This window comes from Homo sapiens, chromosome 4 (assembly GCF_000001405.40).
Source record: "Homo sapiens chromosome 4, GRCh38.p14 Primary Assembly".
NCBI lineage: Eukaryota > Metazoa > Chordata > Mammalia > Primates > Hominidae > Homo > Homo sapiens.
In genome coordinates this window covers 76,410,259-76,425,159 of record NC_000004.12, presented here as the reverse complement: position 1 = coordinate 76,425,159, position 14,901 = coordinate 76,410,259, and the positions used below count along the sequence as shown (strand labels likewise).

Sequence of the window (14,901 nt, the reverse complement as noted above, 5' to 3'; positions counted from 1 at the left end):
CTGTATATGCATTATGTATATTATGTCTGAAGTACTTTTCTGACACAATTTTAACAAAAGTTTTTGTATTAAGATAAAGTTCTATGCTTTGATTTTATAAAATCATAGGGCTTTTTCTTGTTTTTTTTTTTTCTTCAGTTAGAAAAGCCCCTTCTGATATTTCTACATCTCACATTTTGCAGATGAAAATACTAACGCTTTGTAAGTTCAAATGGCTTGCCCAAGCTAGTGCCAAAGCTCAGATCAGGCCTGGGTTCCATGTTCCTGAGTCTTAACTGCATCCTCACAAACCCCAGCCACCATTTGGATTGACATTAGGAGGGACACAGGTTCCTTGAGGGCAGAAACTGGAGCTTCTTTGCATCTCCCCAGTACCCAGCACAGGGTCTAGTGCAGAGTAAGAACCAGTGAAGGGAGACACAACAACCTTGGACCTATGCATGGACTCTTACTAAAGAGCTCTCGGTGACTTGGGCCCTAAATGACCACAACGCCCCAACCTCTGCTTGTTCATCCACTCTGCTCAGTCCTCACTAGCCTCTGGGTTTTTTCAAACACACCAACCAAATGCCTGAAAAGCTCTGTCCCACAATAACCACACAGATCCCTTCCCCCAGCCCTACAAGTCTCTTTTGAATGTCACTTTATCAATGAGGCCTTTTCAAGACCTCACTATGAAACAGCAGCCCCACACTCCCTAACCTCCTACCTCTGTCTCCACAACACGTATCCCCATCTGGCATATTTGAACTTGTCTATTTGTGCATTGCTCATCTTCCTCTACAAGAATGTAAGCACTACTAGGGTAGGGACTGTATTTGTTCCCAGCTTTCTTTTTTTTTTTTTTTTTTCGATCTTTTTTTTTTTAATTGATCATTCTTGGGTGTTTCTCGCAGAGGGGGATTTGGCAGGGTCATCGGACAATAGTGGAGGGAAGGTCAGCAGATAACCAAGTGAACAAAGAAACAAGTGAACAAAGGTCTCTGGCTTTCCTAGGCAGAGGACCCTGCGGCCTTCCGCAGTGTTTGTGTCCCTGGGTACTTGAGATTAGGGAGTGGTGGTGACTCTTAACGAGCATGCTGCCTTCAAGCATCTGTTTAACAAAGCACATCTTGCACCGCCCTTAATCCATTTAACCCTGAGTGGACACAGCACATGTTTCAGAGAGCACAGGTTTGGGGGTAAGGTCACAGTTCAACAGGATCCCAAGGCAGAAGAATTTTTCTTAGTACAGAACAAAATGAAAAGTCTCCCATGTCTACTTCTTTCCACACAGACACGGCAACCATCCGATTTCTCAATCTTTTCCCCACCTTTCCCCCCTTTCTATTCCACAAAACCACCATTGTCATCATGGCCCGTTCTCAATGAGCTGTTGGGTACACCTCCCAGACGGGGTGGTGGCCAGGCAGAGGGGCTCCTCACTTCCCAGTAGGGGCGGCCGGGCAGAGGCGCCCCTCACCTCCCGGATGGGGTGGCTGGCCGGGCGGGGGGCTGACCCCCCCACCTCCCTCCCGGATGGGGCGGCTGGCCGGGCAGAGGGGCTGACCCCCACCTCCCTCCCGGACGGGGTGGCTGCCGGGCGGAGACGCTCCTCACTTCCCAGACGGGGTGGCTGCCGGGCGGAGGGGCTCCTCACTTCTCAGATGGGGCGGCTGCCAGGCGGAGGGGCTCCTCACTTCTCAGACGGGACAGTTGCCAGGCAGAGGGTCTCCTCACTTCTCAGACGGGGCAGCTGGGCAGAGATGCTCCTCACCTCCCAGACGGGGTCGCGGCCGGGCAGAGGCGCTCCTCACACCGCAGACGGGGCGGCGGGGCAAAGGCGCTCCCCACATCTCAGACGATGAGCGGCCGGGCAGAGACGCTCCTCGCTTCCTAGATGGGATGGCGGCCGGGAAGAGGCACTCCTCACTTTCCAGACTGGGCAGCCAGGCAGAGGGGCTCCTCACATCCCAGAAGATAGGCGGCCAGGCAGAGACGCTCCTCACTTCCCAGACGGGGTGGCGGCCGGGCAGAGGCAGCACTCTCCGCACTTTGGGAGGCCAAGGCAGGCGGCTGGGAGGTGGAGGTTGTAGCGAGCCGAGATCACGCCACTGCACTCCAGCCTGGGCACCATTGAGCACTGAGTGAACCAGACACCGTCTGCAATCCCGGCACCTCCGGAGGCCGAGGCTGGCGGATCACTCGCGGTTAGGAGCTGGAGACCAGCCCGGCCAGCACAGCGAAACCCCGTCTCCACCAGAAAAATACGAAAACCAGTCAGGCGTGGCGGCGCGCGCCTGCAATGGCAGGCACTCCGCAGGCTGAGGCAGGAGAATCAGGCAGGGAGGTTGCAGAGAGCCGACATGGCAGCAGTACAGTCCAGCTTCGGCTGGGCATCAGAGGGAGACCGTGGAAAGAGAGGGAGAGGGAGACCTTGGAGAGGGAAAAGGAGGGGGAGGGGGAGGGGGAGAGGGAGAGGGAGAGGGCCCCAGCTTTATTGTCACAACCTACACATAGCATGTTGTAGGTGCCCTATAAATATGGATGGAATGAATGAATGAATGGAAAAGGACTTTGGATCCCTTTCTTGATCTTTTAATTCTTTATTTAAAAAGCTAAGAAGCTGTTTTTAATACAATATTTAAAAAATGTTGTAAAACCGCAGGACACTTCAAAATGTGATGAATTTTATAGTAAAATCAGGGGCACATAACTTTTCGTACATATATGTGGGTGTAGATAATTTCATGCTACACTAATTAACACACCTTTTAATTAAAGACGTTGAAAAGAAAAAAACCTTTTTGTGTGTGTCCAGGGTACAAGCACAAAATGAGACACCAATGGAAACCATGTATTAGGTATGGAAAATTTTTATGTCATTGAACACTCATGTTTTGATAGAAAAAAGAAAAAATTAGAAATTGCTTTTTGTCCAACCACAAGACCTAAATTATTTACCTTTCTATGTAATACTTATGGTTTCACTTCCTGTTAAAAATGCTCGATTCTATAGCTAATCCTAGATCTCTATAAGCCAATAAATGGATTAACTACAAAGATATGATAAACAATCTTTAATGGCATTTAATCTATTTTTATTAAAATTTGTAGCTACATTATTTAATGTAAGACTTACTAATATTTCTAATCAACTTATACATAAAAAGTTATTTGCTGTAGGTGTCTGCACAATGTGATTGCTAGCAGAATTAAATGCCTCAGGCTGCATCTATCAGACACTGGCCTTTCTGGATGCGTTCCATTTGATCGATAATTTGGGCAGCAAAATCTGATAAATTCTATATTAGAGATAATGACAGAGGGTAACTGTAGCACAGCGGAGGGAACAAGTCTCCAGAGGCAGAAGGGTCAGCTATGCCGAGAACACGTTTGAACTTGAACATTCGGGGACAGAGAAAACAGAGCTGCAAAATGTGAATTCTGTTAACTTGAAATGGTCAAATGGGAATGCCAGGAGTGGGAATGGGAGGGGGGGGTGAGGTGGGGCCGGGTGGGGGTGTCAGAGTAGGAGGCCCGGCGGGCAACTCCAGATTGGGCTTGACTCTTTGGCAGGTAAGAGCTCAGACTGGTGCGGGTCAGTGAGTTATCTGGGAAGACCACGGTGGGGACAGCTACGAGAGTGGCCCGAGGCGCTCGGGTGGGGGCAAGAGTAGGGCCGGAGACCAGTTAGGAGGCTGTGGGAGAAGCGGCAGAGGGCGCCGGGTGCAGGTCCGAACCCAGGGTAGTTTCTGGGGCAGGGCTCCAGGATTTGACTCCGGGCTGGGTACACCCCCACTCCTTAGGGCGCCCGGGCGGTGGTGGGGACTTCGACGCTCGGATGCCCCAGCGACGGCGTCCGGCGGGCGGAGTCGCAGGCGCGGGAGGGGTCCCCGCCGGGCAGCTGCCGAGCACCCCCCTCCTCCCCTCCCCCAACTACGAAGCCTCGCAGAGCGTCCTAACCGTCACCCACGCGGCTCGCGCGGACTGGGCAGCGCCCCGAGCGCCACAGCCGCGAGGAGTGACGGGCGCGGGCAGCTTCCGGCGCCGCAGCCGAGGAGGAGGAGCCGCCCCGCAGCCTCCGCGGGGCCTAGGGGCGAAGAGTGGGGAGCCGCCCCGTCCCAGCCGCCAGGTCGACGTAGGTGGGGCCGCTGCGCCCGCCGGCGCCCCGCGGAGATGTGGCCGGTGTCTTAGGATTAGGTGTTGGTTGCAGGTACAAGCGGGGCGCGGCCCGGGAGACGAGGATGGTGGGGTGGGAGTGGGGTTCTTCTGAGGACCCGGAGCGACTCGTGTTCATTTCTGGAATCTTCCGGTGCCTCGTGTTTGTTCTGCACATGGAAGATGCCCAATAAATTGTTTCTTTACTGGAATGAGCTGCTGTTGTTTTAGGGGATTGCAAGACCCCTGGGGACGGTGGCGCTGAAACCTGGACCTTGAAGAACACAGGGGCCTGCGCAAACTGATTTGATTTGTGGGGAAGAGAATCACCGAGTAACCTGCCCCAACGTGACTGCTGACTCTGTGTCTACCGCGCTGCCGCGAACAGGGGGAGGAGATGGGGAAGACTTGGTGGTAGAGAGGACAGCCTCGCATCCAAGACGGAATGGTGTTAAATGCCGGCGCAAGGGCCCTTTCAGCTTGAGCCCTGTCTTTAAACCACATGTGGGGGTCAGAGCTTTCCCTCATTATCAGCATCAATCAGCAACACAATGAGTTCTGGAAAGTCTCCATCCTTTTCCACAGCACTCTGCTCCAGGCCCCACTCAGGCTGCTCCAGGTTTTGTTTGTGCCTCATGCTGAACTCCAACGTCAGGGGAAAGTAGAAGTGAGGTCGGCTGTTGCCCAGGTTTTTTGACTGGCAACCAGTTCTTGCTGCTTCTCTCAGCAGGAGATTAAGGCGTTGTGGCCGGGTATGGCGGGGGCGTGTGGGGAAAGGACCAGGGCTTCCACATATCCCAGAGACATGCTAGGTAGGACTGTTTCTCTGTGCGGAAGCTCATCAGGTAAGGGTGCAGGAGTGCTGAGAGAGATGTGGTCCTCCTATCTCTGTACTGCGCTCATTGCTTTTAATCTTAGTGCGGTTATCTTACTTGTGTTGTGGGTGAAATGGTTTCCATGCCATAGAGTTAATATTATACTCCCAAAACAAATTGAGGACAGCAATTTATTTGTATGTATGCAAAGCCCTTACTGTTGTTGTGCATTTACAATGAGGACTTAGTTTTATCTAGTATGTTATGAGTGAGCCACTTTAGACCTCCACCATTTATTAAACAGGGCCTCTTGTGATCCACCCGTCCCCCAGCTAGATGGCCCCAAATTATATGGTAGGCTGAGCAGTGGCCACTCAAATATGTCAGGTCCTAATCCCTGAAACCTGTAAATGTTACCTTATAAGGGAAAAGTGCCTTTGCATACGTGATTAAGTAGCTTGAAATGGAGAGATTATCGTGAATTATCTAGGTGGGTCCTAAATGCAAACGCAAAGGTCCTAAGAGAGAGAGAGAAGCAGATTTGATATAGGCCGAAGAGAAGGCAATGTGACCACAGAGGCAGATATTGGAGTGATGTGGCCACAAGTCACCAAATGCCTGGCAACCAGCAGAGCTAGAAGAGGCAAGGAACTGATTCTCTTGCAGAGCCTCCAGAGGGAGGGAGGGAGCCCTGCCAACACCATGCTTTCTTCCCCATGAGACTGATTTTGGATTCCTGGCCTCCAGAATTATGAAAGAATAAGTTGCTATTGTTTTAAGCTACCGAGTTTTGATAATTTGTTATGGAAACTGTAGGGAACTAATACATATGAGCGTGCTCATAAATCACATACATGCTGTACTGATGAATAGTTTACAGGTCTTCAGCTGGGGCAATAGTGGGGTACAGTAGTGGAGATCACTGTATATTTATCTGAATCCTGTAAATCCTAAAGAAAGGATTTGAATAGGGAATTTGGTAAGAAAAGAAATTTAAGTGGTGCATATGAAGGAGGTAGTCTGGCATTTAAAGCAATTTTTTAAGAGTATTCCTATTAATATATCACTATTTGCTCTGGCTAAAAAGAATAAAGGTAAAAAGTGGCAAAGGCTTTGTCCTTACCTTAGCTGAATCATTATTGATTATCCATTGTGTGTATATCAAGTAAGAGTTGCAGACACCTGGGGATTGAGGTCCAGGCCTGGGGAAAAGAGGGAATGCAGAAGTGCTTCCATGTATTAAAATATGGCTAAAAGCAACCGCTAGTCATCTGGAATTAAGATACTTTGGAGTTTTCAGGATACAGGAAAATTCAGTGTTCAAGTTTAATGATTCACTTCTGGGACCCAGGCAGCTAATTTACACTTCCCACTTTCCTTGATATGGTTTGGCTGTATCCCCACCCAAATCTCATCTTGGATTGTAGCTCCCACAATTCCCGTGTGTTGCGGGAGGGACCCAGTGGAAGGTAATTGAATCATGGGGGCAGGTCTTTCCTGTGCTGTTCTCGTGATAGTGAATAAGCCTCACAAGATCTGATGGTTTTATAAAGGGGAGCTCCCCCTGCACAAGCTCTCTCTTGCCTGCCGCCACATAAGACTTCCCTTGCTCTTCCTCCATGATCGTGAGGCCTCCCCAGCCATGTGAAACTGTGAGTCCATTAAACCTCTTTTTTCTTTATAAATTACCCAGTCTTGGGAATGTCTTTATCAGCAGCATGAAAACAGACTAATACACTCCCCACATCTGCTTTCTTTTCAAACTGCTTTATAAGGTATAATTTACATACCATAAAATTCACCTGTTTTAAGTGGACAGTCCAGTGATTTTTAATAAACTTACTGAATTGTACAATCAGCACACAATTCAGTTTTAGAACATTTTCATCATCCAAAAATGATGCCTTGTACCCTTCTGTAGTCAATCCCCATTCCCAACCCCAGCACCATCTGCTTTTAATGACTGGCCTACTTCAGAGTTGGGTTTTAGTCCCTTTGTTGGACTGCTCCAATGGCTTTATAGCTAGCCCCAGCTTCTCCTAGTGTATTCTCTACTCAGCCGCTGGAGGATCATATGCCCTTGATTAAAATCCTCCAGTGCTTTGCGTTGCGTTTAGAATAAGCCCCAAAGTCTTCAGTATGTGGCCTTTTCAAGGCCCCATGAGCTTTACCTCCGCCAACCTCACTGACATCTTCTCAGGATAGTGTAGGAAAGGAAGTGATAAGCACAGTGTTCCTTTTGGCATGACACATAGTTGGCCTCCATTAGAAGCCCTCTCATCCCCACTTAGCTACCCTGCAGCCTCATTAGCCTTCTTCACTGGGAGTCAGTGAACACTGAGCTCTTCTCATTTTTGGGCCTTTGTGATGGCATTTCTTTTAAGAAGTTATCCCTGGCCACTGTGAGGCTGACCCCTTTCTGTCATTCAGTTCAATGCCACCTCCTTAGGAAGGCCTTCCCTCACCTACCCTAACTAGAGGAGCTGTGTTAGTCTGTTTTCATGCTGCTAAGACATACCCGAGAGTGGGAAGAAAAAGAGGTTTAATTGGACTTACAGTTCCACATGGCTGGGAAGGCCTCAGAATCATGGTGGGAGGCAAAAGGCACTTCTTACATGGCGGCAGCAAGAGAAAATTACCTCCCCCTGGGTCGCTCCCATGACACATGGGAATTCTGGGATATACAGTTCAAGTTGAGATTTGGGTGGGGACACAGGCAAACCATATCATTCCACCTGTGGCCCCTCCAAATCTCATGTCCTTACATTTCAAAACCAATCATGCCTTACCAGTAGTCCCCCAAAGTCTTAACTCATTTCAGCATTAATGCAAAAGTCTTCAGTCCAAAGTCTCATCTGAGACGAGCCAAGTCCCTTCTGGCTATGAGCCTGTAAAATCAAAAACAAGCTAGTTACTTCCTAGATACAATGAGGGTACAGGTATTGGGTACATATAGCCATTCTAAATAGGAGAAATTGGCCAAAACAAAGGAGTTACAGGGCCCATGCAAATCCAAAATCCAGCAGGGCAGTCAAATTTTAAAGCTACAAAATGATCTCCTTTGACTCCATGTCTCACATCAAGGTCACGCTGATGCGAGAGATGGGTTCCCATGGTCTTGGGCAGCTCCAACCCCTGTGGCTTTGCAGGGTACAGCCTCTCTCCCAGATGCTTTCATGGGCTGGTGTTGAGTGTCTGCAGCTTTTCAGGTGCACAGTGCAAGGTGTTGGTGGATCTACCATTCTGGGGTCTGGAGGATGGTGGCCCTCTTCTTAACAACTCCATTAGGCAGTGCCCAGTAGGGACTCTGTGTGGGGGTTCCAACCCCACATTTCCCTTCAGCACTGAGCTAGCAGAGGTTCTCCATAACGGTCCCATCCCTACAGCAAACTTTTGCCTGGGCATCCAGGCGTTTCCATACATCTGACATCTAGGCAGAGGTTCCCAAACCTCAATTCTTGAGGCCTGTGCACCTTCAGGCTTAACACCACATGGAAGCTGCCAAGGCTTGGAGTTTCCAGTCTCTGAAGCCACAGCCTGAGCTGCACATTGGCCCCTTTCAGCCATGACTGGAGCAGCTGGGACACAGGGCACGAAGTCCCTAGGCTGCACACAGCACAGGGACCCTGGGCTCAGCCCACAAAACCACTTTTTTCTCCTGGGCCTCTGGGCCTGTGTTGGGGTGGGCTGCCATGAAGGTCTCTGACATGGCCTGGAGACATTTTCCCATGGTCTTGGGGATTAACATTAGACTCTGTAGAGTCCAGCCCCACAGGGTCAGTGGGTTTTCTCCCCGTGTGCGGAGATGAGAGAGTGTAGAAATAAAGAGACAAGACAAAGAGATAAAAGACAGCTGGGCCTGGGGGACCACTACAACCAAGACGCGGAGACCGGTAGTGGCCCCAAATGCCAGGCTGTGCTGATATTTATTGGATACAAGAAAAGGGGCAGGGTAAGGAGTGTGAGCCATCTCCAATGATAGGTAAGGTCACATGGGTCCCATGTCCACTGGACAGGGGGCCGTTCCCTGCCTGGCAGCTGAGGCAGAGAGAGAGAGGAGAGAGAGAGAGACAGCTTACACCATTATTTCTGCTTATCAGAGACTTCTAGTACTTTCACTAATTTGCTACTGCTATCTAAAAGGCAGAGCCAGGTGAACAGGATGGAAGATGAAGGCGGACTAGGAGCATGACCACTGAAGGACAGCATCACAGGGAGACGGTTAGGCCTCTGGATAACTGCAGGCGGGCCTGTCAGGCCCTCCACAAGAGGTGGAGGAGTAGAGTCTTCTCTAAACTCCCCCGGGGAAATTGAGACTCCCTTTCCCGGTCTGCTAAGTAGCGGGTATTTTTCCTTGACACTGACGCTACCACTAGACCACAGTCCACTTGAAAATGGGCGTCTTCCCAGACACTGGCATTACCGTTAGACCAAGGAGCCCTTTGGTGGCCCTGTCCGGGCATAACAGAAGGCTTGCACTCATCTTCTGGTCACTTCTCACTATGTCCCCTCAGCTCCTATCTCTGTATGGCCTGGTTTTTCCTAGGTTATGATTGTAGAGTGAGGATTATTATAATATTGGAATAAAGAATAATTGCTACAAGCTAATGATTAATGATATTCATATATAATCATATCTAAGATCTATATCTAGTATAACTATTCTTATTATTTTGTATATTTTATTATACTGGAACAGCTCATGCCCTCGGTCTCTTGCCTCGGCACCTGGATGGCTTGCCGCCCACAGACTCCTTGCTACTTATGCAAATTTCTGCAGCCGGCTTGAATTTCTCCCCAGAAAATGGATTTTCCTTTTCTATCACATAGTCAGGCTGCAAATTTTCCAAACTTTTATGCTCTGCTTCCCTTATAAAACTGAATGGCTTTAACAGTACCCGGGTCACCTCTCTAATGGTTTGCTGCTTAGAAATTTATCCTGCCAGATACCCTAAATCATCTCTCTCAAGATCAAAGTTCCACAGATCTTTAGAGAAGGGGCAAAATGCTACCAGACTCTTTGCTAAAGCATAGCAAGAGTTTACTATGCTTAAAGTTCTTACATAGCAAGAACTTTACTCTAGTTCCCAACAAGTTCCTCATCTCCATCTGACCACCTCAGCCTGGACCTTATTGTCCATATTGTTATTGGCACCTTGGGCAAAGCCATTCAACAATTCTCTAGGAAGTTCACATTTTCCTGTCTTCATCTGAGCCCTCCAAACTGTTCCAACCTCTGCCTGTTACCCAGTTGCAAAGTCGCGTCCACATTTTCTGGTATCTTTTCAGCAATGCCCCACACTACTGGTACCAATTTACTGTATTAGTCTGTTTTCACGCTGCTGTTAAAGACATACTGAGAAGAAGAAAAAGAGGTTTAATTGGACTTACAGTTCCACACGGCTGGGGAGGTTTCAGAATCATGAAGGAGGCAAAAGGCACTTCTTACTTGGCAGCAGCAAGAGAAAATGAAGAAGCAAAAGCGGAAAACCCTTACAACCCCATCGGATCTCATAAAACTTATTCACTATCACAAGAATAGCACGGGAAAGACCGGCCTCCATGATTCAATTACCTCATCCTGGGTCCCTCCCACACACGTGGGAATTCTGGGAGATACTGTTCAAGTTGAGATTTGGGTGGGGACACAGCCAAACCATATCAGGAGTCTCAACTCCATCTCTCTTTATACCACTGTTCTTTGTTATTTTCTTTATTGTACTTGACAACTCTCCAAAATTATATTTGTGATTTTTTTCCCCTTAATGCCTTTCTTTCCCCATTGGAATATAAATTCATGAGGGTGGAAACTTGATTGGTCTTGATTTTAAACTTAACAGAATATGGTGATTAATTGGATATGGAATTTGAATTGATGAAGATACTTGAAACACCCAAGAAAGAAGGTTTAGTGAGGAGATGAAAAGAGCAGATTTGGGATAAGGTGAATTTAATACGACTGTAAACATATATGCAGAAATGTTAAAGGAAAAAAACTTAGCTGGGAATGGTGGCTTATCCCTGTCCTAGCACTTTGGGAGGCTGGGACAGACAGATCCCTGGAGTTCAGGAGTTCAAGACCAGCCTGCGCAACATGGCAAAACCCCGTCTCTACTAAAAATACAAAAATTAGCCAGGCATGGTGGTGTGCAGCTGTAGTCCCAGCTACTTGGGGGACTGAGGTGGAAGGATCACTTGAGCCACCACTGCACAGCCACCTGGGTGACAAAGTGAGACCCTGTCTCAAAAAAAAGAAAGAAAGAAAAAAGAAAAGTAAAAACTTTATTCTAATTTATCTAGAGCCAAACATTTTTAACAAAATAGCATGAAACTTGCTGGAAGCAGTTTAGAATTGTTCCTATCTGGCTTTGCTGTTGACTGATATCATCTGTGAGAAGTCATCATATTTTAGGTCAGGTTTTTGTTGGATGTTTTCCATGGGAAATCATAGAATGTCCAAACTGGAGAAGATTTTAGAGATTTTTCTAGTCCAACACTCTACCCAAGAAAGAATACCAGTGGCAGTTGCCATTTCAACAAGTGCTCACCCATTCTTATCTTCAACACCTCTCAAGGAAGCCCTCCACATATATATTCAGGGTGCTCTAGTCTTTAGAAAATCCATCTCCACCTTGAACTAAACTCTGTCTCTCTTTACTTCCATTCATTAGTCTGAATTCTGCACATAGAATATATTCATTTTTTTCTTTTCCTTTTTTTTTTTTTTTTTGAGACAAGGTCTCACTCTGTTGCCCAAGCTGGAGTGCAGTGGTGTGATCACGGCTCACTGCAGCCTCAACCTCCTGGGCTGAGGTTATACTCCCACCTCGGCCTCCTGAGGAGCTGGGACTACAGGTATGGACCACCATACCCAGCTAATTTTTAAAATTTTTTGTAGAGACGGGATCTCACTATATTGTCCAGGCTGGTCTCAAACTCCTGAGCTCAAGCAATTATCCCTCCTTGGCCTCCCAAAGTGCTGGGATTACAGGCTCATTCATTTTTTTAAATGTGGAAAAACTGCTTACATTCCACCGAGATATTCCAAAAATCTTGGTGGTTTATCATTTCGGTATACCTGCTTACAATATATAGATAGACCTGTTTTGACTCACCAGACAGAAGTTTCTCTACCCAATTACTTCTCTAACCAAGCACAAGTGATGTTGCCTGGTCAAGAGCATTTCCAAACAGTGAAGAGCAGTTAAAATGGTCAGAAGATATTTAGCTGGTCTATTTAAGTCAGTTTGGACTGTACCTGGAGAAAGGCCAGGTCTGAGAATATTGATATTAGGTCATATGTGCCTGTAGGTTTACTTGCTACATTATCTTGATAGTGCCAATGAGATCTGTGCCACTAAAATTAAAATTGGGCCAATAGCATATAATTAAACACATTTTGTTGTAAAAACATGATTTAGATAAGTGCTATAGGCTATTTTTTTCTTTTCTTTGAGATGGAGTCTCGTTCTGTCACCCAGGCTGGAGTGTAGTGGCACAATCTCGGCTCACTGCAATATCTGCCTCCCATGTCAAGCAATTCTCCTGCCTCAGCCTCCCAAGTAGCTGGGATTACAGGCACATGCCACCATGGCCAGCTAATTTTTGTATTTTTAGTAGAGACGGGGTTTCCCCATGTTGGTCTTGAATTCCTGGCCTCAAGTGATGCGCCCACCTCAGCTTCCCAAAATACTGGGATAACAGTCATGAGCCACCATGCCCGGCCACTATAGGCTATTTTTAAAAAAATTTTTTGTAGAGGCAAGGTCTTACTATGTGGCCTAGGCTGATCTCAAACTCCTGGCCTCAAGCAGTCTTCCTTCCTCAGCCTCCCAAAGTGTTGGGATTACAGGTATTAGCCACCATGCCTGGCCTGCTCTAGGCTCTTAAAATGTACTTTCACATAAAAGGAAAAAATAACACTTCTTGTTGCCATTGTTATATGTGTGTTTTACATATTGTCAAGGTCTTAAGTGATGAACATGAATTTGTAAATTGAACTTTTGAAATAATAAATTTCAGTTAATGAAATATATATAAATGAACAGATTTTAAATATTTTGTTTTTTCAGATATTAATAGAATAAGTGAAAATAAGAATATCCAGAAGTTAAGGTAACTTTTATTTTACTTGTAGTTATATTTAAGAATTGTGAACATATACAACTGATAATACTATTTTATCTGTATCTATATCTGATTTATTTTAGAAAACCTGAAGCCTTGAATTTGATGGATGCCTAGGCCAGAATATAAATATATCGTAGGCCTACAATATAAAAGCTGCAAGAGCTTTATCTTTGTGGTTTTCAGACTATGTTCAGTGGGGCCCTCTGTGTTCCATAGAGGTGTCTCTGGGGCAGAGAGGAGGGTGTGTGGCGCTTAGATTTAAAGAAACATTTCCACTGCTTAAGAAGGGTTTGAAAAACACAACTGTAATTTCATTTAGTAAGGATGGAAATTGAGACTCAGAGATATGAAAAGGTCTGCCCATGCTCTCACAGTTAACCAATGACAGAATTAAGTTTCCTGATTCTAAGTTCTGTGCATCTTCCATATTGCCTCCCTGCTAGATGGTATTATGTATGGGTGAAATGCGATCGTAAGTAGCTTAATTCCGTATTACATTATAATAGTCCCTGTGTTTAGTCAATGCAGATTAAACCCACTTTCTTTTGTTAGTGGGCCTATATGAAACTCAATATTGCTCTTTATTATGGGAAAATGAGTTAGTTTACATACACTGCTTAAGTTATAAAGATAGTATTGGGATTTTGGGGTGCTTTTTTTGGTTTTTGTTTTTTTGAGATGGAGTCTTGCTCTGTCACCCAGGCTGGAGTGCAGTGGTGATCATGGCTGATTACAGCCTTGAACTCTTGGGCTCAAGGGATCCTCCCACCTCACCCTTCCACGTAGCTGGGACTACAGGCAAGTACCACCATGCCCGGCTAATTTTTTCATTTTTTGTAAAGACAGAGTCTCACTCTGTTGACCAGGCTGGTCTCTAAATCCTGGGCTCAAGTGATCCGCCCACCTTTGCTTCCCAAAGTGTTGAGATTACAGGCGTGAGCCACTGTGCCCTGCCAGATAGTATTGTTATTCATGTTATTGCTGTCCAATTATCTGGTACCTTGTATGTGTTGAGGCAGTTACTATGTAGGAAGGCCGCAGTTACTATGTAGGAAGGCCTGCACGTGAGTTATCTCAGTTAACTCTTATTCTTTTGAGGTATACACTCTTTTACCTTTTAAGCTGTATACTTTTTATCTCCCTCGTATAGTCATAGAGAGGTTAAATATTGTTCTCAAGGTGGCACAGCTAGTAGATCACAGAGCTAGGATTACAACATCCAGAGACTTGAAAGAGTGTGATTGAGAAAACAGACACTGAGAGCATGTGAAGTTAATAAGCAGCTAACAGCAATTCAGGTAGTACAATACTGTTCAACATGAATGGTTCTCCTTATTGTGTTTCTGAGATTGTACCAGCCCAGTATGTTTCTTTGAATCAGTCCCGAGGTACCTCAGAATTTCCCAAGGAAAACATACCTGCAGACTGGTTCTAGAAGAATGTAGATCAGTTCTGTAAGATCCCCAGTCTCAGGTTTCTGTGGAAGGTAGGGTGGTTCATCAACCTAGGAGCTTGAGTCAGTTGAAGAATCCAGGAATCTAAATAGAACATACATCATAAGTCATCTGTACGCAATCAAAATAGAACTTGGGCCAGGCCTGGTGGTTCACGCCTGTAATCCCAGCACTTTGGGAGGCTGAGGTGGGTGGATCACTTGAGGCCAGGAGTTCAAGACCAGCCTGGCCAACATGGTGAAACCCCATCTCTACTAAAAATACAAAAATTAGTTGGGCAAGGTGCCACATGCCTGTAATCCCAGCTACTCAGGAGGCTGAGGTGGGAGGATTGCTTGAACATGGGAGGTGGAGGTTGCAGT

The 14,901-nt window shown here is 46.6% G+C and overlaps 1 protein-coding gene across 13 annotated transcripts in view; it reads left to right on the top strand.

The window, feature by feature from the left end:
* The first annotated feature begins 3,290 nt into the window (after window positions 1–3,290).
* CCDC158 (coiled-coil domain containing 158) overlaps window positions 3,291–14,901 on the top strand; it is a 108,831-nt gene continuing 97,220 nt past the window's right edge. For 5 of the 13 annotated variants that reach the window (XR_938729.3, XR_938730.3, XM_011531915.3 and 2 more), the window contains exons 1-2: window positions 4,019–4,195; window positions 13,028–13,070. The gene's annotated coding sequence lies outside the window, so the exon portion shown is untranslated. Of the gene's footprint in view, window positions 3,420–3,535; window positions 3,559–4,018; window positions 4,986–10,795; window positions 10,900–13,027; window positions 13,071–14,901 lie in introns of those variants that run through there. The other 8 variants (XM_011531917.2, XM_011531909.3, XM_011531908.3 and 5 more) reach the window with 7 other exon arrangements.